The sequence below is a fragment of the Homo sapiens genome, chromosome 12 (assembly GCF_000001405.40).
Source record: "Homo sapiens chromosome 12, GRCh38.p14 Primary Assembly".
NCBI classification, from domain to species: Eukaryota; Metazoa; Chordata; class Mammalia; order Primates; family Hominidae; genus Homo; species Homo sapiens.
In genome coordinates this window covers 67,472,365-67,495,631 of record NC_000012.12, presented here as the reverse complement: position 1 = coordinate 67,495,631, position 23,267 = coordinate 67,472,365, and the positions used below count along the sequence as shown (strand labels likewise).

The window sequence follows — 23,267 nt, the reverse complement described above, 5'->3', positions numbered from 1 at the left end:
CCAGTGTCTGTTGTTCCTCTCTTTGTGTCCATGTGTTATCATTTAGCTCCACTTATAAGTAGGACTATGCAGTATTTGGTTCTCTGTTCCTGCGTTAGTTTGCTAAGGATGATGGCCTCCAGGTCCATTCATGTTCCTGCAGAGGACATAATCTTGTTCTTTTTTATGGATGCATAGTATTCCATAGTGCATATGTACCACATTTTCTTTATTCACTGCTAAATGGGCATTTAAGTTGATTCCGTGTCTTCACTATTGTGAATAGTGCTGCAATAGACATAAACTTGTATTTGTCTTTATGAAAGAATGATTTCTATTCCTTTGGGTATATACCCAGTAATGGGATTGCTGGGTCAAACAGTAGTTCTGTTTTTAGCTCCTCAAGGAATCACTACACTGCTTTTCACAATGGTTGAACTAATTTGCACTCCCACCAACAGTGTATAAGTGTTCCCTTTTCTCCGCAACCTTGCCAGCATCTGTTATTTTTTTAACTTTTTAATAATAGCCATTCTGACTGGTATGGGATAGTATCTCATTGTGGTTTTGATTTGTATTTCTCTAATGATCAGTGATTAAGCTTTGTTTCATATACTTGTTAGATGCATGTATGTCTTCTTTTGAAAAGCATTTGTTCATGTCCTTTGCCCACTTTTTAATGGGGTTGTTTGGTTTTCTCTTGTAAATTTGTTTAAGTTACTTATAGATGCTAGATATTAGACCTTTGTCACATGCATAGTTTGCAAATATTTTCTCCCATTCTGTAGGTGGTCTGTTTACTCTGCTGATAGTCTCTCTTTTGCTGTGCAGAAGCTCTTAAACTTAATTATATCCCAGTTGTCAATTTTTGCTTTTGTTGCAATTGCTTTTGGTGTCTTCCTCATGAAATCTTTGCCAGTTCTGATGTCTAGAATGGAATCGCCTATGTTGTCTTCCAGGGTTTTATAGTTTCACATTTAAGGCTTTAATCCATCTTGAGTTGATTTTTGTATAAGGGGTCCAGCTCCTTATTTTGTAAGGAAGGGGTCCAGCTTTAATCTTCTGCATATGGTTAACTAGTTATCCCAGCACCATTTATTGAATAGGGAGTCCTTTCCCCATTGCTTGTTTTTGTCAGCTTTGTCAAAGATCAGATGGTTGTAGGTGTGTGGCCTTGTTTCTGGGCTCTCTATTCTGTACCATTGGTCTATGTGTCTGTTTTTGTACCAGTACCATACCATTTTGGCTACCATAGCCCTGTAATATAGTTTGAAGTCGGGTAACATGATGCCTCCAGCTTTGTTCTGTTTGCTTAGGACTACCTTGGCTATTTGGGTGTTTTGTGGTTCCATATGAATTTTAAAATAGTTTTTTCTAGTTTTGTGAAGAATGTCACTAGTAGTTTGACAGGAAAAGCATTGAATCTGTAAAATGCTTTTTATGATATTGATTCCTCCTATCCATGAGCATGAAATGTTTTTCCATTTAAGTCATCTCTGATTTCTTTGAGAAGTGTTTTGTGATCCTCATTGTTGAGATCTTTCACCTCCCTGGTTAGCTGTATTCCTAGGTATTTTGTTCTTTTTATGGCAATTGTGAATGGGATTGCCTTTCTGATTTGGCTTTTGGTTTGGCTATTATCGGTGTATAGGAATGCTAGTAATTTTTGTATGTTGATTTTGTATCCTGAAACTTTGCTGAAGTTGTTTATCAGCTGAAGGAGCTTTTGAGACAAAACTATGGGGTTTTTCTAGATATAGAATCATGTCATATGCAAACGGGGGTAGTTTGACTTCCTTTCTTCCTATTTGACCGTTTATTTCTTTCCCTTGCCTGATTGCTCTGGCGAGAACTTCCAATACTCTGTTGAACAGGAATGATGAGAGAGGGCATCCTTGCCTTGTGCTGGTTTTCAAGGGGAATGCTTCCAGCTTTTGACCATTATTTATGATGTTGGCTGTGGGTTTGTCATAGATGGCTCTAACTATTTTAATGTATGTTCCTTTAGTTCCTAGTTTATTAAGAGTTTTTAACATCAAGAAATGTTGAATTTCATTGAAAGCTTTTTCCGTATCTATTGAGATAATTATGTGATTTTTGTGTTTGGTTCTGTTTATGTGATGAATCACATTTATTGATTTTCATATGTTGAACCAACCTTGCATCCCAGGGATGAAGCCTACTTGGTCATGGTGGATTAGCTTTTTGATGCACTGCTGGATTTGGTTTGCAAGTATTTTGTTGAGGATTTTTGCATTGATGTTCATCAAGTATACTGGCCTGAAGTTTTCATTTTTTGTTGTGTCTCTGCCAGGTTTTGGTATCAGGGTGATGCTGGCCTCACAGAATGAGTTGGGGAGGAGTCCATCCTCCTCAACTTTTTAAAAGTAGTTTTAGTAGGAATGGTACCAGCTCTTCTTTGCACATCTGGTCGAATTAGGCTCTGAATCCATCTGGTCCTGGGACTTTTTTTTATTGTTAGGCTATTTATTACTGATTCAATTTTGAAGCTCATTATTGATCTGTTCAGGGAATCAATTTATTCCTGGTTCCATCTTGGGAGGGTGTATGTGTCCAGGAATTTATTTATCATTTCCAAATTTTCTAGTTTGTGTGCATAGGGGTCTTCATAGTAGTCTGTGATGGTTATTTGTATTTTGTGTGGTCAGTGGTAACATCCTCTTTGTCATTTCTGATTGTGTTTATTTGGATCTTCTCTATTTTCTTCTTTATTAATCTAGCTAGTGACCTACCAATCATCAATTTTTTCAAAAAATCAATTTCTAGATTTGTCAATCTTTTGAAAGGTTTTCATGTCTCACTATCCTTCAGTTCAGCTCTGATTTTGGTTACTTCTTGTCTTCTGCTAGATCGGGGTTGGTTTGCTCTTGCTCCTCTAGTTCTTTTAGTTGTGATGTTAGGTTGTTAAATTCAGGTCTTTCTAACTTTTTGATGTGGGCATTTAGTGCTATAAATTTCTCTTTTACCACTGCCTTAGCTGTGTCCCAGAGATTCTGGTATGTTGTATCTTTGTTCTTATTAGTTTCAAAGAACTTCTTGATTTCTGCCTTAATTTCATTATTTACCCAAAAGTCATTAAGGAGCAGACTGCTTAATTTCCTTGTAATTACATGACTTTGAGACATTTTTTTAGTCTTGATTTCTATTTTTATTGCATTGCGGTCCAAGGGTGTGTTTGGTATGATATCAGTTATTTTGCATTTGCTGAGGATTGTTTTATGTTCAATTGTGTGGTGGATTTTATAGTATGTGACATACAGCAATGAGAAGAATGTATATTCTGCTGCTTTGGGGTGAAGAGTTCTGTAGAGGTCTATTAGATCTATTTAGTCCAATGTTGAGTTCAGGTACTGAACATCTTTGTTAATTTTCTGCCTTGATGATCTGTCTAATACTGTCAGTGGAGTGTTAAAGTCTCCCACTATTACTGTGTGGGAGTCTCAGTCTCTTTGTAGGTCTCTAAGAACTTGCTTTATGAATCTGGTGCTCCTGTGTTGAGTGCATGTATGTTTAGAATAGTCAGGTCTTCTTGTTAAATTGAACCTTTTACCATTATGTAATGCCTTTCTTTGTCTTTTTTTAGTCATTGTTGGCTTAAAGTCTGCTTGTCTGAAATTAGGATTATAACCCCTGCTTTTTTTCTGATTTCCATTTGCTTGGCAGATTTTCCTCTACCCTTTTATTTTGAGCCTATGGGTGTCACTGCATGTGAGATGGGTCTCTTGAAGACAGCATACTATTGGGTCTTTCTTTTTTATCCAGCTTGCCACTCCGTCCCTTTCAAATGGGGCATTTAGCACATTACATTCAATGTTAGTAATGATAGGTATTGATTTGACCCTGTAATTGCATTTTTAGCTGGGTATTATGCTGGCTTGTTTGTGTGGTTGCTTTATATTGTCACTGGTCTGTGTACTTCAGTGTGGTGTTTGTATTGGCTCGTAACAGTCTTTTCTTTCCATATTTAGTGCTCCTTTCAAGATCTCTTATAAGGCAAGTCTGGTGGTAATGAATTCCCTCAGCATTTTCTTATCTGAAATAATCTTATTTCTCCTTCACTTAGGAAGCTTAGTTTGGCTAGATATGAAATTATTGGTTGAAGATATTTTTTCTTTAAGAATGTTGAATATTGGCCCCCAATCTCTTCTGGCTTGGAGAATTTCTGCTGAGACATCTGCTGTTAGTCTAATGGGATTCCCTTTGTAGGTAACCTGCCCTTTCTCTCTAGCTGCCTTTAACATACTTTCTTTTATTTCAGCCTTGGAAAATTGGATGATTAAGTGTCTTGGTGATAATCTTCTTATGTAGAATCTTGCAGTGGTTCTCAGTATTTCCTGAATTTGAGTGTTGACATTTCTAGCAAGGTTGTGGAACTTTTCATGGACCATACCCCAAAATATCTTTTCCAACTTGTTTGCTTTCTCCCCTTTCCTCTCAAGTGATGCCAATGATTCGTAAATTTGGCCTCTTTACAATCCCACATTTCTCAAAGGTTTTGTTTCTTTTCATTCTTTTTAATTTTTGTCTGTCTTATTTGAGAACCAGTCTTCAAGATCTGAGATTCTTTCCTTAGCTTGTTCTATTCTGCCGTTAATACTTGCATTTGCATTATGAAATCTTATGTGTTTTTTCAGCTCTATTAGATCAGTTAGGATATTTTTTATACTGGCCACTTCATCTGTCAACATCTGTATCATTTTGTTGTGATTCTTTATTTCCTTGGAATGGGTTTTGCCATTCTCCTGAATCTCAGTGATCTTCATTCCTATCCATATTCCAAATTCTATTTCTGTCATTTCAGCCAATCCAGCCTGGTTAAGAACCCGTGTTGAAGGACCAGACTGGCTGTTTCAAGGACATAAGACTCTCCAGCCATTTGAGTTGCCATTCTTGTATTGGTTCTTCCTCATCTCTACCTGTGAGTGTACTTTTAACTGCTGGGCTGCTTCTGATTGAAGTGGTAAGATGGGCAGGATGGTTGAGCTGGAGTTCCACGTCAGGTGACCCTGCCCAGTGAGGAGAATTGAGGACTGGGACCTGCATAGAGAAAAGTCTGGCCACTTTTCTGTGAGGTGGGTGCTCTGTGCTAGGGGTCTGGACCAGCCCTTGGTCCCATGGATTCTCTGGAGCCTGGAGACTACAAAGACAGCAACCTGCCCCTCCCACTGGGAGCTCTGTCCCAGGGAGTCACAGAGCTACTATAGGCTCAATTGTTGCAGCAGGGGGGTTGCTGGAGACCCAGGCCAGAAGGACCTGCCCAGTGATGAGATATGGGACCAGGGACTGACATAACAAACAGTCTGGCCACTGTTCCATAGGACTGCTGCAGTATGCTGGGGGTTCACTCCAGTTCCTAGTCACCTCAAATTTTCCCATACCTGAAGGTATCAGTGGTGAAGACTACAAAACAGCAAGATGGCAGCCTGCTCCTCCATCCCAGGAAGGTACAGCCCCATTGCCATGCCAAACACACTGGTGGGAGTGGCTGGGGACCCCAGTTAGAAGGTCCCACCCAGTGAGGAGAAGTAGGATCAGGGGCCTGCATTAAAAAGCAATCTGTACACTGTAGAGCAGCTGTGCTATGCCGGGGGTCTGCTCCAACCCCCAGTTACCTCAGACCCTCCAAAGCCCAAAGGCAACAATGGCTAAGCCTTCAAAACAGCAAAGATGGCAGTCCACCCCTCCCTCTGGGAGCTCCATCCCAGGGAGGTTTGGAACTGCTGTTAGCTGGTGATATGGTTTGGCAGTGTCGCTACCCAAGTCTCATCTTGTATTGTCATTCCCATAATCCCCACATGTCGGGGAGCGACCCAGTGAGAGGTAATTGAATCATGGGGGCAATTACCTCCATGCTATTCTCATGATAGTGAGGGAGTTCTTATGACATCTGATATTTTTATATGAGGCTTCTCCCCCTTTTGCTTGACACTTCTCCTTCCTGCCACCATGTGAAGAAGGACATGTTTGTTTCCCCTTCTGCCATGAACGTAAGTTCCTGAGGTTTCCCCATACCTGCAGAACTATTAGTCAATTAAACCTCTTTTCTTTATAATCTACTCAATCTTGGGCAGTTCTTTATAACAGTGTGACAACAGACTAATATAGTGAATTAGTACCACAGAGAGTGGGGTGCTGCTATAAAGATACTCAAAAATGTGGAAGCAACTTTGGAACTGGGTAACAGACAGAGGTTGGAACAGTTTGGAGGGCTCAGAAGAAGACAGAAAAATGTGGGAAAGCTTGGAACTTCCTACAGACTTGGAGGGCTCAGAAGACAGGAAGATGTAGGAAAGTTTACAACTTCCTGGAGACTTGTTGAATGGCTTTGACCAAAATGCTGACAGTGATATGGACAATAAAAGTCCAGGCTGAAGTGGCCTGAGATGGAGATGAGGAACTTGTTGGGAACTGGAGCAAAGGTAACTGTTGTTATGATTTAGCAAAGAGACTGGTGACATTTTGTCCCTGCCCTAGAGACGTGTGGAACTTTGAACTTGAGATAAATTGTTTAGGGTAACTGGCAGAAGAAATTTCTGAGCAGCAAAGCATTCAAGATGAAGCAGGCTGGCTGTGCACAGTGGCTCATGCCTGTAATCCCAGCACCTTGGGAGGCCAACGCGGGTGGATCACTTGAGGTCAGGAGTTCAAGACCAGCCTGGTCAACATGGCAAAACTAGGTCTCTACTAAAAATACAAAAATTAGCCAGGCGTGGTGGCACGTGCCTGTAATCCCTGCTTCTTGGGAGGCTGAGGCACAAGAATTGATTGAACCTTTGAACCTGGGAGGTTGCAATGAGATCACACCACTGCACTCAAGCCTGGGTGGTGACAGGATGAGACTCTGCCAAAAAAAAAAAAAAAAAAAAAAAAAAAGATGAAGCAGAGCATAAAAGTTTGGAAAATGTGCAGCCTGATGATGCAATAGAAAAGAAAAACCCATTTTCTGGGGAGAGATTCAAGCCCCAAGATGATGCAGCTTCCACACGGTATTGAGCCTGCAGGTGCACAGAAGTCAAGAATTGAGGTTCGGGAACATCCACCTAGATTTCAGAGTATGTATGGAAATGCCTGGATGTCCATGCAGAAGTTTGCTGCAGGGTTGGAGCCCACATGGAGAACCTCTGCTAGGGCAGTGTGGAAGGGAAATGTGGGGTTGGAGTCGCCACACACAGTCTCCACTGGGGCACTGCCTAGTGGAGCTGTGAGAAGAAGGCCACTGCCCTCCAGACCCCAGAATGGTAGATCCGCCAACAGCTTGCACCATGCACCTGGAAAAGCTGCAGATACTCAATGCCAGCCCATGAAAGCAGCTGGGAGTGGGGCTGAATCCTGCAAAGCTATAGGGGAAGAGCTGCCAAGGCTGTGGGAGCCCACCTTTTGCATCAGCATGACCTGGATGTGAGACATGGAGTCAAAGGAGACCATTTCAAAGCTTTAAGATTTGACTGCCCTGCTGGATTCCAGGCTTGCATGGGGCCTGTAGTCCCTTCATTTTGGCCAATTTCTCCCATTTGGAAAGGGTATATTTATCCAATGCCTGTTCCCCCACTTTATCTAGGAAGTAACTAACTTGCTTTTGATTTTACAGGCTCATATACAGAAGGAACTTGCTTCGTCTCAGGTGAGACTTTGGACTTGGACTTTTTGGTTAATGTTGGAATGAGCTAAGAATGTGAGGGACTGTTGGAAAGGAGTGACTATGTTTTGAAAGGTGAAGACATGAGATTTGGGAGGGGCCAGTGGGGGAATTATATGGTTTGGCTGTGTCCTCACCCAAATCTCATCTTGAATTATAGTTCTCATAAACCCCATGTGTCATGAGAGGGACGTGGCAGGACATAATTGAATCATGGGGGTGAGTACCTCCATGCTGTTCTTGTGATAGCAAGGAGTTCTCATGAGATCTGATGGTTTTATAAAGGGCTTTTCTCCTTTTGCTCAGCACTACTCCTTCCTGCCACCATGTGAAGAAGGACATGTTTGCTTCCCTTTCTGCCATGATTGTAAGTTTCCTGAGGTTTCCCCATCCCTGCAGAACTGTGAGTCAGTTAAACCGCTTTCCTTTATAAACTACCCAGTCTCAGGGAATTCTTTATAGTGCATGAGAATGGACTAATACAGCTGGGAAACACTGGCAGGGTGGTTGTAAACCTTGGTTGGGAGATTTTTCCCAGTGAAGAGAAACAAGATCTGGTACCTGTGTGAAAGAGCAGTCTGGCAGCCTCTTGATAGAGCTGCTGCACTGTGCTGGTTGTCTGCTCCAGTCCTTAATCACCTCGGATTCTCTGGAGCCCAAAGGTATCAATGGTTAAAACTGTGAAACAGCAAGGATGGTGGGCCACCCCTCCCTCTGGATGTTCCCTTTCGGGGAGGAGTAACATTGCTACTTGCGGCTGGCTGGAGTTCCAAGCCAGTGGGTCTTATCATGTGAGGTGCTGTGGAAGCAGGATCTGTGGAAGCAGGGCCTGTACACCATCACTGCTCAGCACCCTGGATTCAGCCCCTTTCCTAGGGATATATGTAGAGGTCTAACCTCCCACTTTGCCAGAGTTGCAGCTGCTTTTGCTGGGAAGTGTGGGTATCTAAAGCCCCTGGAAGTTTGAGTGTGCCTGAGTAGTTTCTCTGACAAGACTCTACATAGCTCTCTGTATCAGACTGAAGGCCCTGGTGGAGTGACCTGAGGATTGAAAAGATCCATGGGAGAAGCCTGGGTCCCTGGAGTCGCTCACTCAATCACTGCTTCCCTGGGCAGGGGAGATTCCCCTGGCTCCACATCACTCCTGGGTGGGCGATTGTCCTGCCTTACTCTTCTCCATTCTCCATGGGTCAAGTTGTTTTCTTGATGAATCCCAATGCAGGTACAGGAGTGTTTCATGAAGGTGTTGTATTGATTTGCCCCTTCTATTTCTCTCCATGAGAGCAGGGCACAGTAGCTGCTTCTAGTCCACCATCTTCACCAGCTCTCCAACGTATAACTCTTGACTCCTCAAAAACTTAACTACTAATAGCACACTGTTGATTGGAAGTCTTACCAATAATATAAACAGTTAATTAGTACATATTTTTATGCTATGAGTAGTATATACTGTATCCTTACAATACAGTAAGCTAGCAAGTAAATGCTGTTGAGAAAATATATTTACTATTCCTTAAGTAGAAGTGGATCATCATAAAGCTTTTCATCCCTGTCTTCTTCAGATTAAGTAGGCTGAGGAGGAAGAAGAGCAGGAGGTTTTGCTGTCTAGGGTGCCGGAAACTGAAGAAAATTCACAAATAAGTGAACCTGTGCAGTTCAAATCCGTGTTGTTCAAGGGCCAGCTGTACAAAAGAAGGGCAGCTGTGGACACAGAGATGCTCACGGATGTGCTATCTATGAAGGCAAAACACCACAAGCAACATCAAAAGTCCAGGAATACAGGAATAATTAAACGAGTTGTCATCCATTTCCTCAGAGGAAGTTATGCACTATCACAATTCTTATGAAAAACAGAAACCACTAGAAATGTGAAGTGTTTATGGCATAAGTTTCAGCAAAAAAGGTAGCATAGAAAATTGAGAGCACATTCTGATATGATTTATAAATTATATATGAACAGGAACTACAGAATACACAAGAATAAGTAGAATTACTGAATTTTTTCAAAACTGTTTGGAATGCTTATTTTATATATATACTAGTACATATACAAGTACTAATATAAGTACATATATGTACATATATATATACCTCTGCCTCCCGGGTTCAAGCTATTCTCCTGCCTTAGCCTTCCGAGTTGCTGAGATTACAGGCACCTGCCACCACGCCTGGCTAATTTTTTGTATTTTTAGTAGAGAACTGGCCATGTTGGCCAGGTTGGTCTCAAACTCCTGGCCTCAGATGATCCTCCTGCCTCAGTCTCCCAAAGTGCTGGGATTACAGGCATGAGTCACTGTGCCCGGCCTGGAATGTTTACAATCTTTTAATAGTTAAAAGTGGCAAAGGCTTGGGGAGAGAATGGCCTTCCCAAAACTCCATGCTCAGAAAAAAAGGGATAATGTATCTAAATAACCTGCCAGAGTTCTGTTTCTCCCAGAGACATCATTAGCCCTCTGGGGGCTTTTGTGCAAATTAGGAAAAGTAGCCCCTCTTGAAGTATGCCCTTCCTAGAATGCAGACATTTCCTTTTTCTGGAGCTCTGTTCAGAGCCTTGATGTCTTCCACTGGAGGCTGGTGAATATAGGATTATTCGAGGAATATGTTGGCAGAATTGCCAAGAAGGCAGCTATTGTAGACCCAAAGATTAACTACTTCAGGCAGTATGCAGATGAGAATTAGGACAATGACAGTTGAATAAACAAATATGAGTCATATAAAAGCTGAATTATATGGCATGATACAGTGGCCCGCGATCTTTTTTGGCACCAGGGACCAGTTTCATGGGAGACAGTTTTTCCACAGATCAAGGAGGTTGGTGGTTTTGGGGTAAAACTGTTCCACCTCAGATCATCAGGCCTTATTAGATTCTCAAAAGGAGCATGCAACCTAGATCCCTCACATGCATAGTTCACAACAGGGTTTGCATGCCTATGAGAATCTAATGCTGCTGCTGATCTGACAGGAAACTCAGGCAGTAATGCTTGCTCACCTGCTGCTCACTTCCTGCTGTATGGCCAGGTTTCTAACAGGCCATGGACCAGTACAGGTCTGTGGCCCGGGGGTTGGGGAGCCCTGATATAATAGAAATAGATCTCTCTCCCCCTGACATCAGCAAGTTGTATGCTTTCTAAGCATTATTCTCCTGCCTACTGAAAACTATATTTAGACTAAACCAAGAAAGATATTGCACTGAAGATCTCACAAAAAGCCTGAGTTACAAGTCTCAGAGGTAGAAGAAAGTAAATTTGCCAAACTAGGCTGTCTATTCCTCCACCAGAGACAGTACCATTGCAGGCCTGTGATGAAGGGGTGAAGACAAGTGTCCATGGTGCTGCAGTAGGCCCCAGAGTCCAGAGTCCTGGGTCCCTTGCACGGAAGACCCTTGTTAGCTTCCTTCATGTCTGCATGCATCAAAGGAAACTAGCATGGACCTCAGGCACCTCACAAGATGGGCTGTGTCTTTTCATGGGGACTATAGATATGTGAAAGCATTCAGGAGGACATAAAACATGTTCTCTAAGAGGGAGCCTTTGTATTCAGCTCCCTGTGGTCAGGGACTGCATTTTTGGAGCCAAGCTCCAAAAATATTTGAACAGTCAAACCACTCCAGTGTACTAAAGAGAAATGAGAAAAGGTAGTTTCTGCTCTGGGTGAAGAGTCATTGAGAAAGTTCTTCCTCCCTACCTTGGTTCCTATACATCTTAGTCCCATCAGATTTTGCTGATAAGCCTTACTTGACACATGTGGGAAACATTTTCACTAGAGGTTAAAGGAAGCTGGTTTGGGACTGAAGCAAACGGCTATGCAAGGTCATACTGAGTTCAGCTCAGAGTCTCACATCTCAAATATTCTTTCCACACCCTTCTTCTGGGGCAGTGGCCTCTACTGAACCTGAAGGTGTAACTTCTCTCGGGTGACATGGAGTGCATGCCCGGCAATGCCTCAAGAGCTGCAGGGCAGGGTGATACAGCCCCAGGGAGTGGCTACCTTCACTAAGAAGCAGGTTTCTAAAACCAGCATTTCAGGATCCTCCAGGCATCCCTTTGGCCTGCTCACCTCCAGCTTCTGTGTCCTATAGCACAGTATTTACTGACAGGGAGAGCCCTTCTGCCAGCCAAACCTGCACAGTGCCCCAAGCACAGGGCAAGTGGGTGACCAAGGGCTATGTTACAGGCCCCTTTCCAGCAGCCAAAGGACACGCATCCCAAATTTGATGGGGTTTTTGCCCTTGGTACCCATAGACTTTCAATTTTCTGGAGTAGCTCCACCTTTTGTTATGGTTTGGTAAACAAAAGGCAGTCATCAGGAAGCCACTAATACAAATGTCACCATGCACATCACCCTGCCGAAAACCAACAGCAGCCTGTTCAAATGCTACAGGATATTGAGAAAATGATGAGGAGGCACTGAAGACAAAAAAGCCAAGCTTCTCCTCTTCCTGGTCATGCTGCAGACAGCTTACTGGCTTGGCAGCCCTCCAACTCTGCTTCCTTTTCTAGAAGCTCTAGGTACCCAGGCTGCAAAGCTGTGCTGCCTGCCTGCTCATTCCGAGCACGTTTGCACTCTGCTTTGAAGGGGCCAGCCATAAATAAAGCACAGGCTGGGGATTCCTGGGCAGGCTTGCATAATCACAGCCCTTCCTTTGAAAGGGGGAACCATATTCTGATATGTGCCTGTGGCTGGTGGTTTAACTTTAAATCTGTCACCGGTAGCTGGTCAAAAGGTTTTATTCTCTGTAGCCCCCAAGTTTGGCAGACAGGCCTTTTCAAAATGGAAATATCTCCCTGATCCACTGATAGGCAGTTTGGAGACGGTGTGCTGATGCCAATTAAAGCACACTGTGGTGTTCTATTCCTCTTGCCTTGGTGCAGGCTACATCCTCTGCCCCAAGGAACATCCACCCATCCTCAAGGCCAAGTCCAACTCTCTCTCTAAGATTCAGATCAGATCCCTTCACTGAACGAATATAGATAGATTAAGCACTCCCTTTGTGAGCCTGAGAGATGTGCTCTGTGCCATCATTGAACTATCAGTCTGCCAGGGAAGATGACAAAAGTGATATGTGTACAGCCTACAGATGTATCTGCTATGGCAGTAACTTCATCTGAGTAGGAGTTAGAAGGTGACAGAAGAATTTCACTTCTCCCCAAATCCTTCCTGGCTTTCCCTGGGCACTATGATTGCTCCCTTCTTGTGTTTTGTCAAAGGCACATATCCCATCTGCTCACTGTGTGATATTTCTACACGTTGCCTGCCTCCCATCCCTCTCACCCTTGCCATTTTATTAAGAGGTCTTCAAGGTCATGGACTGTCCTATGAATCAATTATCTGGCAAATGTTCAATAATTGAAATAAATAAATCTCTGAAAATTTTTTTGCTCTGAAAAGCAACTGTTGTCTACCTAACACCAAGTGATCAATAGGCTTTTAAAAATCTCTGAGTAATCTCAGAAGTGACAGTGTATTTGACTATATGGAACAGGATCCACGTGGATCCACGTGGATGAGCAGATCCACGTGATGAGCAGGTGAGCAAAAGCAACATTGGTAGTTAATGCAAGGATGAGTTAATGGAGGCAGTGGGGTGAGGGAAACAGGGCAGGGTGTCTTCACAGCCACTGAATCAGAGGTTAAAACAGCCAGCAGCAAGGGCTAGGGCACAGGCAAATATCAGGGCAGGTTTCACCCTAGTGTTTCTGAATTATTTGCATCCAAATGATGAGGCAGTTTACTGAAATTGTGTGGAAGTTATTTCAATGCCACAAAGATATTTAAAATTATATTAACTCATTTGTACAGAATGCTGAATACTACATCTTGATAGTAATTAGCAAACTCAATACAGTTATGACATGATCAGTTGCAAATAACCTAAAACATTCTCAAATGTTAATGTATAAATGAATTATCTAGGCATCTTGATAAAATTCAAATTCTGACTTAATAGTGGGTTGTGATTCTGTATTTCACCCAAGTTCCAAGGTTCCATTGGTCCATAGATCTCACTTTGAGTAGCCCCTACTAAAAGTGCAGGAGAAAAAGTTGTGATTTTGACAGAAGGCACTATTACTCTTCTTTTAAAATTGTATTTATTCATTAAATATTTTCAAACTGTGAAATTAATGGTCATTATGGTGAATTTGGGAACTGTAAAACATACCATGAAAAAATATTAAATCATCTTCAATCTCAACGTCCAGAGATAATCTGTATAAATATTTTGATGTGTTTCCTTCTAATCCCTTTTACTTTTGCATCTTACTCTCCACAATTTTTCTATCTTGATATTGTTTCTTTTTAAATTGTAGATGATTCACATGTTGTTATGTTATTTGAAAAATATGGTTTGTATCATGCCATACATTCAGTCCTCCAGAGCACAGCAGTTAAAGAACGAGTTCCTGCCCTTGTTTTTAGTGAAAGAAAGCAGTAAATATAAAATCAGGTAATAAATAAGATTGAATGGATAAAATTCTCATTTTGAAGGACTGTATAATTCTATTTTACAGCTGATTATAATAAAGTTAACCAATCTTTCCTTCAGACATTTAGATTCTTTCTTTTGTTCTTATATACACATGTATGTTTTAAATATGCAGACTATGTGAAAAATCCTTGCAGCCCGATTTTTGCATAGTCTTCTGATTATTTCCTTCAAATAAATGTCTGTAAGTGAAATTTCTGGGTCATAGGGTGTGTAAGCTTTTAATACATATCGTCAAATGGGACCCCAGAAATGTTGTACCCATTCATGCTCTTATCAGCAATCAGGAAGGAGCCTGAAAAGCTTCACCACATCTTCACCAGCATTGGTCATTATGTGTTTTTACATTTGTCAGGTTATTTTTGTTTACATTCCCTTTCTGCTTATGAGGTTAAGTATTTTCCTGTATATATAAGCCACTTGGTATTTTCCTTTGTGAAGTATCTGTTTCTTTTGCCCATGCTGCCTTGGGAGTGTTTTCCTCCTATTAATTTATAACTTTCCTATGGATTAAATATATTAACCATTTGTTATATATTTTGTAAGTAGTTTTCTACTTTGTTGTTTGTCTTTTAATTTTGTTTCTGTTTTTTAAAGTTCTACAGAGTTTTGAACTTTTAGGTAGGCCATAGCTATTGATCTTGTCCACTGTGAATTTGTCTTTTGTTTCTGTATTAGACATAGACTTCCCTGCAACCAGATGAGAATAATATGGATCTATGTTTCTTCCTAGTTTTGCTACATTATGCATATATGGAAAGGGTAGAAGGCAGGGTTGTAAGAAAATTCTCCTTTCCAGTGGTACAGTTTTCTAAAACTGGGTTGTGCTGCAGGTTTGCCCCCAGAAAACCAGGAACAGGAAAACACTGAAAGTTGACATATTTTTCAGGATAATAATATGAGTTTGAGAAGCCAGCTTTTTTTATTTTTTATTTTTCATTTTTATTTTTTTGATCCATTACATGCATACTTCTCCATAGGAAAGAGATGCTGGGGTCTTTCACCTATGCGTGGTATGTATGATAGACAGAATAATGATCCCTCCAAAGATGTCCAGAGGCTAATCCCTGAAACCTGTGAATACATTACCTTCCCTGGCAAAAGGAAGTTTGCAGATGTGATTAAGTTATAGATCTTGAGAAGAGAGATAATTGTGGAATATCCAGGTGAGTTCAAAGTCATCATAATGGCTCTTATAACAGGGAAGGAAGAGGGTCAGAATCAGAGAGGTCATGGACAATGAAAGCCGAGGTCAGAGAAATTTGAAGATGGCCTACTACTCACTTTCAAGGTGGAGAAAGGGCTATGGGCCGAGGAGTATAGGTAGCCTTTGGAAGCTGGAAGGAAACACTCTTCCCTAAAACTCAGCCCTGCTGACACCTCGGTTTTAGGACGTCTGACCTCCAGAATGGTAAGCCTCTAAGTTTGTGGTACTGTAATTTGTTACAAACGCAATAGGAAACTAATACAGCATCATCAGAGTACAAGTTCAATCTCTACAGAAGTTCCTGAATATGATTGCTTCCCAGCCTGTGTCCAACTCAACTGACTACCACCAGGATAGCAGGATTAATTTCATCACCAATGCAAGGTCCCAGAGTACTGGTAAACCTTAGCCAGAATGAGACAGTTGGAGTTGCTGCCTAAAAGTAAAAGGGTATGGGGTAGAAACTGGAGGCTTTTGGTTCTTCTCCTTTAATTTGCCCAGATATTCTTACGAATCCTCAGAATATTTCATTCTAATTAGTTTTTAATAAGGACAAAAACAGCACTACTTTTTAGGGTTATTGTGAGGATTAAATGAGTTAATACATACATGTATAGCCCTCAAAACATTGCCTGGCACATAGAAAGCATTCAATAGGTGTTAGCTGTTGTTGCTGTATGTATTAGAGTTCTCCAGAGAAAAACAGAACCAATAGGGGCTGTGTGTGTGTGTGTGTGTGTGTGTGTGTGTGTGTGTGTGTGTGTGTGTGTGTACAGAGACTGTATTTTAAGAAATTGGCTCACATAATTCTGGAGCTGGAAAATTCAACATATGCAGGACAGGCCAGCAGGCTAGAGACCCAGGAAGGAGCTGATGTTGCAGTCTCAAGTCCAAAGGCAGTGTGGAGGCAGAATTTCTTCTCCCTCAAGGGAACTAGGTCTTTTCTCTTAAAGCCTGATTGGCTGAAACCCACCCACATTATGAGGGATAATCTGTTTTCCTCAAAGTCTACTAATTTAAATTAATATCTAAAAAATATTTTCAGAGCAACATCTACACTGGTGTTTGACCAAACATCTCAGCTCCATAGCCCAGCCAAGTTGACACCTAAAATTAATTATCACACTGTCTTTTGTTTGTTTCCTATCTTATTTCAATGGCTACAACTTCCAGGAAAATATTTAAAAGTGAAGACAATACTATTAAATAATTGTAAATACTGAAGGTAATATATTGTTATCGTATTTCCAGTTCTAATGGGAACACTCTACTACAGTATGTCTCCAGTGACTATTTGTATAAGTACTGTTAAGGAACTACTCTCTTTTCCTACTTTACAATATTTTAAATCACAAGTGGGTATCATCTGCTAAGATGATTATATAATTTTTTCTTTATAGATTTCCCATTAATAAACCATTCCTTACATTTCTATGGTAAACCTTACATGGTCTGATTATAGTCTTTAAGATTTCAATTTAATTATTTAATTTAATGTAAGGTATTAAGAATTTAATTTCATAGTATTTCCACTCATTTTAAATTTGTCTTCCCAAGTCAGTGTCAGTTGCATCTGAAGAGTTTTGTTTTTATTCGTTTTGGTGGAGAGTTTGTTTGATGGTTTTTGTTAAAATGTTATATGATGGTTTTAGTTTTGCTCACTTCGTAAGTGAATTGGTAAGTATTCCATCTTTCTCTGTGCCATGTAGCTATTTATGAAGCATAGGATTAAACATATTCTCAGTAGCAAGATATACAAACTATCCGATCACAAAAGCAGTTTGGTGTCTCTTTCACTTGCAGATTTCCCTTCATCAATTCAACATTGACACTATATAAATTCAATATTACACCAAATGTTAATTCAATATTATGCTTAAAAAGTACCTGCTCTTACCTTAAAGAACACACATTTCTTTCTACTTTGTCTTTTGAATCTCGTATCTACCTTCTCTCACTTTCTATAAACTTTCCCTTAAAAAACAAAAACAGTTTCCCTAGCCTGAATAACCAGCTGAAGAGGGGTGGCCAATAGAACCTGGGTCTCTTGATGAGTCACTCTGCGTTAGGAATCAATCCTGAATTCTTTGACAAGTGGTCACTTTCTTCTTCAAAAACATCCCTGTGCCCGGCTTCTCCTACACCGAGGCCAGCTTAGGCCTCCTGGGTCTGTGCTTCATGTGGTTGCCTACAAAACAAATTCAAACAAACAAAAATCAAAAAACATGTGTGGCCACTTCTGGCTGAAGAAAAAGTCCAGTTTTGGCCTTGGGTGGTCTTAGTGAGGACAGTCCAGAGTTCAGGGCTTGTCTTCAGGGGACTGAGCTGTCACTGAGAAAAAGCCCTCTGTGGCTTCTGTTTCAAAGTGATGCTGGCAGATGGAACAGCCAATTCTGACTCTGTCCCACTGCACGACATGCTGCCCCTTCACAGCAGATGGCTGAGATGACGATCTCCTGTGTTCCGAGACTCCAGAAAGGCTGCAAGCCAACTGCAACATTGCTCCCATACCCACGGAGGCCAGGTTTTTACACGTAATGCTTCTTTATATTCAATTCTCATTTTGCTTTCTGGTGAGGGATTTTTCAATAGTCAAACAACTGAAAATTATTTTCATGAGCCAGCATTGTCCAAACAGGGGTCTGGGAGGACACTGCTGTCCCACAGATGTCAATAGGCCTTCCAAGAAAAAAAAAGGTTCTGTCTTCAAATCAATGTGGGAAAAACTGGGTTAAATAAAATTCAACTAGTTTCTTCACTACATATTGATGTTCTCTGTGACCTCTGAAACCTTTATTTCACAGTACACCTATTAATATTTCCAAATACACCATTGTTGGGTAGAATATATTTGGGAGAAAATTATCTTAGGTAATCATCATTATTATCATCACCTATAATTACAGAGTGCTTACTAGGTATTAAGTACTGTGCTAGGCATTTTACGTGCTATGTCTCATTTAATCCTTGCAAGATCCCTAGGAAGTGGGAATTACTGTCTTCATTGCACAGTGGCATAAGAGGTTAAGTAACAAGCTCACAATGAGAGCATTAGTAAATCATAAATCTTAATTTGCACCCAGGCCTGTCTGATTCTAAAGTCTATGTGCTTAATCAGTAAGCTACAATTTTTATAGCTTTACTATAATTTGAAGTACATTCTCCCCTTAGTATCTGCAGGGGACCAGTTCCAGGACCCTGTGCAGATACCAAAATCTGCAGAAGCTCAAGGCCCTCCATATCTGCAGGTTTAAGACCAACTGTATTTATCTTATTAAATGATACATTGTATTCTATTATCAATACATACTTGGAACAATCATATCCTCTCATTCCCTGAGAGCCAGCCCAGCAGATCCCTCTGCCAGCAAGCGTAGCCACACTGTGTAGCAGCCACTACTGACCAATGAGAGCTGAATTGAGCACATGTGGTCATGCATGTTGTTTTTTCCTTGCAGCTTCTCTTTCTGACATAAAAGTGTGTCAAGAAGTGTCTAAGTGATGGTGCCAGACCTTCTGCAAAGGCACAACAAAGGACAGCAAGCTGAATGTGAAACTGCAAGTTTGATAGCATCCGTTGAGTGGAGGAAATGAAGGATAAAGATTAGCAGGCAATTAGAGGTTGGTAGCAATCCTTTGGCAAGTGAAGAGCATCACTGTAGCCTGAGAGAAGTGACCAGCCATTGTGTGAAACTGGCCAGAGGCTTGTCATGACCTCAGAGGATTTAAAGAGCTAGTGCTAAATAATTTGCTGGAAATTCATCTCCACAGGGACCATTCCATATACTGCTGTGATGGTTCCTACTTAGGGATTGCATCTCCTGTGCTCATGAGACAGCACTGTGCTACCTCTTAACAGCTTCCACAGGTCTCTGTCCAGTAACCAGCCTTCTTCCAGCGCTGTTGCACCACAACCTTCTGCACATAGAGAGGAGACGCTTACCATGATATAATTTTGCATGTCAAGGGAGGATGGCCTATTAGCAGAACCAATTTAGAGTTACCATCTTACTCAGCCAAGGTATGACAGCATGTTTTGTGAGAAGCATGCCCAGTTGAGAATTTTTCTATCTTGAGAAATCCCAGAATAAAAAATTCCACACCTGAAAGATACAGTTTGAAGTAACCCTACTCCTATAAGCTCCTCTGTTAAGGTGTTCTCTCATCCTCTCCATTCAAAAAAGTTAGGAATTTTCCACATGTATTTTAGCTTCTATTACATAACAATCCACCCCAATACTAGTGACTTAAGTTAACTACTATTTATTATTTATGATGGGTCTACAGATCAGCTAGGCAGTTCTGCTGACTTGGACTAGACTGAACTGGTCTTGGCTGGGCATGCTCATGCATTTGCGGTTAGCTGGGCAACTGTCTGGAGGCCACCTCATCTAGAATGGCCTCATTTGGGACAGCTCATCTCTGCCCCATGTGGTCCCCTCTCCTCTGGCAAGCTAGCCTAGGTTTGTTCTTAATAAACAATCACTTTTAAAGCCTCTGGTTGTGTCACATTTGCTGACACTCCATTGGCCTAAGCAAGTCTCATAAACGAGTTCAAGGTCAAACTTGGCAGGAACAAAAAAGTTTCAGGGGAAAGGCAGGGATACAGAGGCCATTAAAGGGGACTATTTATGCTATCAATTAACACCACAGATCTGAAGTTCACCACAAGAATTAGCCCATGGTAGGCATTATAATACATCAAAATATATACGATCTATACTACAATAGGCACTACAATAGGTCAAAAATATCTCTTGACTTTAATTTGACTCCTATGGTGAATAGAATTATAAAGGGAGGTTAGGTCAGAGCTAAGAAGAATCATATTAACCTAGGCCCTTCAGTGATTCACCATTTCAGAATTAGCCCAAAACCCAATTCATGACACTGAAATCCCTTTGTACAATTTTGTTCAACTAAAAGAATGCAGCACTGAAAGGGATCAGGATATGCCATCTTCAAAATATGTGACTTTGGCATAAGGATTATTATAAGCCAAACGCATTTTAAATTCAGCAGATGCAGAAAGAAGCCTTCTCAGAATTTCCCTTATCGGACTAAAAGAATAAATTTGTATCTGGGAAATGAGGCTACCATAAATTCCCTCATTGGGATGGATCTGGTGCCAGGAGAGAGACCTTGAGTAAACTTATCATAAACCCTTCCCACAGGGAGGTTTTATGACCCTGAAGGAGATGGAAAGATGGCTCAGACCTGTATAGACAAACATCAGCAAAACCTTTCTCTCTCATTTGTCCTCCCCAAAACCCATTTTTCTTTCTTTTAAAAAAAGTATTTGTCCTTTCCATAGAAGCCTTTTCTCCCACTTTCCTTTCTCCTACTAAGTTAGGTGTATAAGCCCCAAATTCCAATCATCCCTTTGACTAACTCATCACTGAGCATTCCTGCATGTATGAGCATTACATGCATAAATAAACTTTTTCTCCTGTTAATCTTCCTTTTGTCAGTTTAATTTGCAGACCCCAGTAACAAAACTTAAGAGTTTTGAAGAAAAATTTTTTCTCACCTACAATACCATCCCTACGAACTACCTAGGTCAGGAACAACACTGTAAGAATGACCTTACTATTTAAGCCATTTGAGTTGAAGTTTTCTGTTGCTCACAGCCAAGCGCATTCTAACTAATTGAGTATTGTGTCTGAGTTGCCTATTGAACAGCTAAAGAGAGTGGCCAGGGAAGGAAATAGACATAAATCTGGATTTGGGGAAAGAGATCAGGGCAGGGGATAGAGATTTGGAGGTCATAGGCCTAGATTCTATTTAAAGTCACATGACTGGATGAAATCACTTGGTAAATGTATGTAGGCAGTAAATAGAGCAGAGAAGAGTGCTCAGGACTAAGTCTTAAAGAACTCTAATATTTAGAGGCTGAGCAAGGTAAAAGGAGACATCAAAGGAGACTGAGAAGTAATCTATGAAGTAGGAGGAAAACAAAGAGACTGTGGTGTTATGGAAGCCTAAAAGGGAAAGAACGTACTTCAAGAGAGAAGGTGAGTTGAACTGTGTTGGATACCTCTAAGAAGTCAGGCTTTACAGCATTTTTGTACCTGTAGAGCTTCCTCTCTTGCCAGAACAAGCACCTTTGCCCTCGAAGCTCCAAGTTACAGAACTATCTTTTCCTCTGTCTCACATCTCCTGGCCATGCTCTCCTTTGCCTCTGTGGTTTCACCTACATTGTAATCTAAAACATTCCTTTGTATATCTCCCCTCTCCAACTCCTACTGCTCCTCCAGGTTTCAGCTTAGACGCCACTTCTCCAGATCTGTTTGAGGGGCTCCATCCAAGCGCTTCCAAAGAATCCTGCTCTTCCCTTGTCAAAGCACTTACCGGATGATAACTCCTCTATTCCCCATTTGACTGTAAGTTCTGTGAGGTCAAGCCCACAGATTTTATCCTCTGTTATCTTTAGTGTGTGGCACAGTGCTGAGAGATGCTAAAATACAATACACACACACATTTTTAGAGTAAATGAATGACAACACAAATGCCAAATCCACCTCCACTATGCTGCCTGGCTAACCCAACTAGTTAGCCAAGACTCAACCCTCATTGGGAATTCTCCTCCCAGTAGTATACCATTTTCATGGTGAATAAAATTTCATCCATTTGAAATAAATGGAAGGAAGCCTACTGTGAATTACTGAGAAACTGTATCGTTTTAAAAGTTTTTGTGCTTCAGGTAAGCCCTAAAAAATATCTTTCCTGTCTGAACTAATACTTTGTAATTTGTTCACTCATTATTTGCCTTCAAATGATGTTAAAATATTTTTAAAGGTGATGAAACCCCTTTCTTAAGTAAATGGAGCAATAATCCCGAATATGAGTTTATACTACTTCTTTGTTTAGCAAATTCTACTTGCTACATATAGATAAGGCAAAGGTAAATTTTAATCTAGCCTCAGGAAAAAAATGTTGAATTGTCTGAATCCCTTTCAGGATTCTGAAGGTCCTTGTACTTTAGGAAAGATAAAAATAGGTGAGAAGCGGAAGGTGAGGAGGGTCCCAGAATTGCATTATTTTGAAACTCTATGTCTTTTGATATATAATACCAAAGTAGTGAGTCTGATTTACAGATATTAAAGTACTATCTTTAGAAGTAGGAAGTCAGCAATGGCATATATATTCCTTCCCTTCCTCCCTGAAGATTGCACACACATCTTTTTAAAGATACAAAAATGATTTAGAAATATAGAGAGAAGCTGGCTTTTTTTAGGCATTGCATTTCTAGGTTTTCCTAAACTTTAAAATGTGTTAGGGAAAAAAAATTCTTAACAAGTTTCCAACTATTCATTGATGTTAACCCTTCAAAGGTAGCTTTCTTCTTCTTTTTTGAAAAATAGTGTATTTAGGTAAAAGATGACTTGGGATATAAACCTGGGGTTCTAATTCAAGGGACAGGATACAGAAAAGGTGCTCAGCACCCATTGGACTCCAGCTTTCTCTGTGTAGCTGGATTAGTGGCTATGATCCCCGTGGCTGCCTGAGTGAGGCTCAGAGACATGTGACAAACAAGCTGATTGCAGCCCTTGCTGACACAGACTGTATGAACAATAACACTCCAACAGACCCATCCAGCCTACTCCTCTCTCCAACTCTGGGTGTGCCAAGTGGAAAAATGATTCCAAGAGGCAGCACAGACAATACCTCTGGCTTCAAGAATCAATGCCAGGAGCCAATTCCTAAAAATAACTGAGTAGAGTAATTGGGTAGGGACAGATGCTAGGAAAGAAATAGTAAAATTTGATTATTATTTTATTTTAAGCACAACCCCAAAGCTACATTACTGTGGACCCCTCTTAGCCCTTGACATAAATGCAGATCTGTGGATATTTCCTATTGCGTCAGTGAGTTCTTGTGATATTCAATAATGAAACAAATATGACCCAAAGATTTGAAGAGATTATCTAGAGTCAGTA

At 40.9% G+C, this 23,267-nt stretch overlaps 1 long non-coding RNA gene across 1 annotated transcript in view, besides 3 other annotated features; it reads right to left on the bottom strand.

The window, feature by feature from the left end:
• Positions 10,778–10,957: an enhancer, noted in NCBI's record as "active region_6627". NCBI's record gives its function as "activates an Ori minimal core promoter by ATAC-STARR-seq in GM12878 lymphoblastoid cells {active_cell/tissue: GM12878}" and the evidence as "EXISTENCE:reporter gene assay evidence [ECO:0000049][PMID:35858748]".
• Positions 11,178–11,227: an enhancer, noted in NCBI's record as "active region_6626". NCBI's record gives its function as "activates an Ori minimal core promoter by ATAC-STARR-seq in GM12878 lymphoblastoid cells {active_cell/tissue: GM12878}" and the evidence as "EXISTENCE:reporter gene assay evidence [ECO:0000049][PMID:35858748]".
• Positions 11,788–11,837: an enhancer, noted in NCBI's record as "active region_6625". NCBI's record gives its function as "activates an Ori minimal core promoter by ATAC-STARR-seq in GM12878 lymphoblastoid cells {active_cell/tissue: GM12878}" and the evidence as "EXISTENCE:reporter gene assay evidence [ECO:0000049][PMID:35858748]".
• Positions 14,938–23,267, bottom strand: part of LOC105369812 (uncharacterized) — an 86,311-nt gene continuing 77,981 nt past the window's right edge. Inside the window, exon 5 of the long non-coding RNA XR_001749186.2 lies at positions 14,938–17,515. This is a non-coding gene — a long non-coding RNA (uncharacterized LOC105369812). The remainder of the gene's footprint in view (positions 17,516–23,267) is intronic.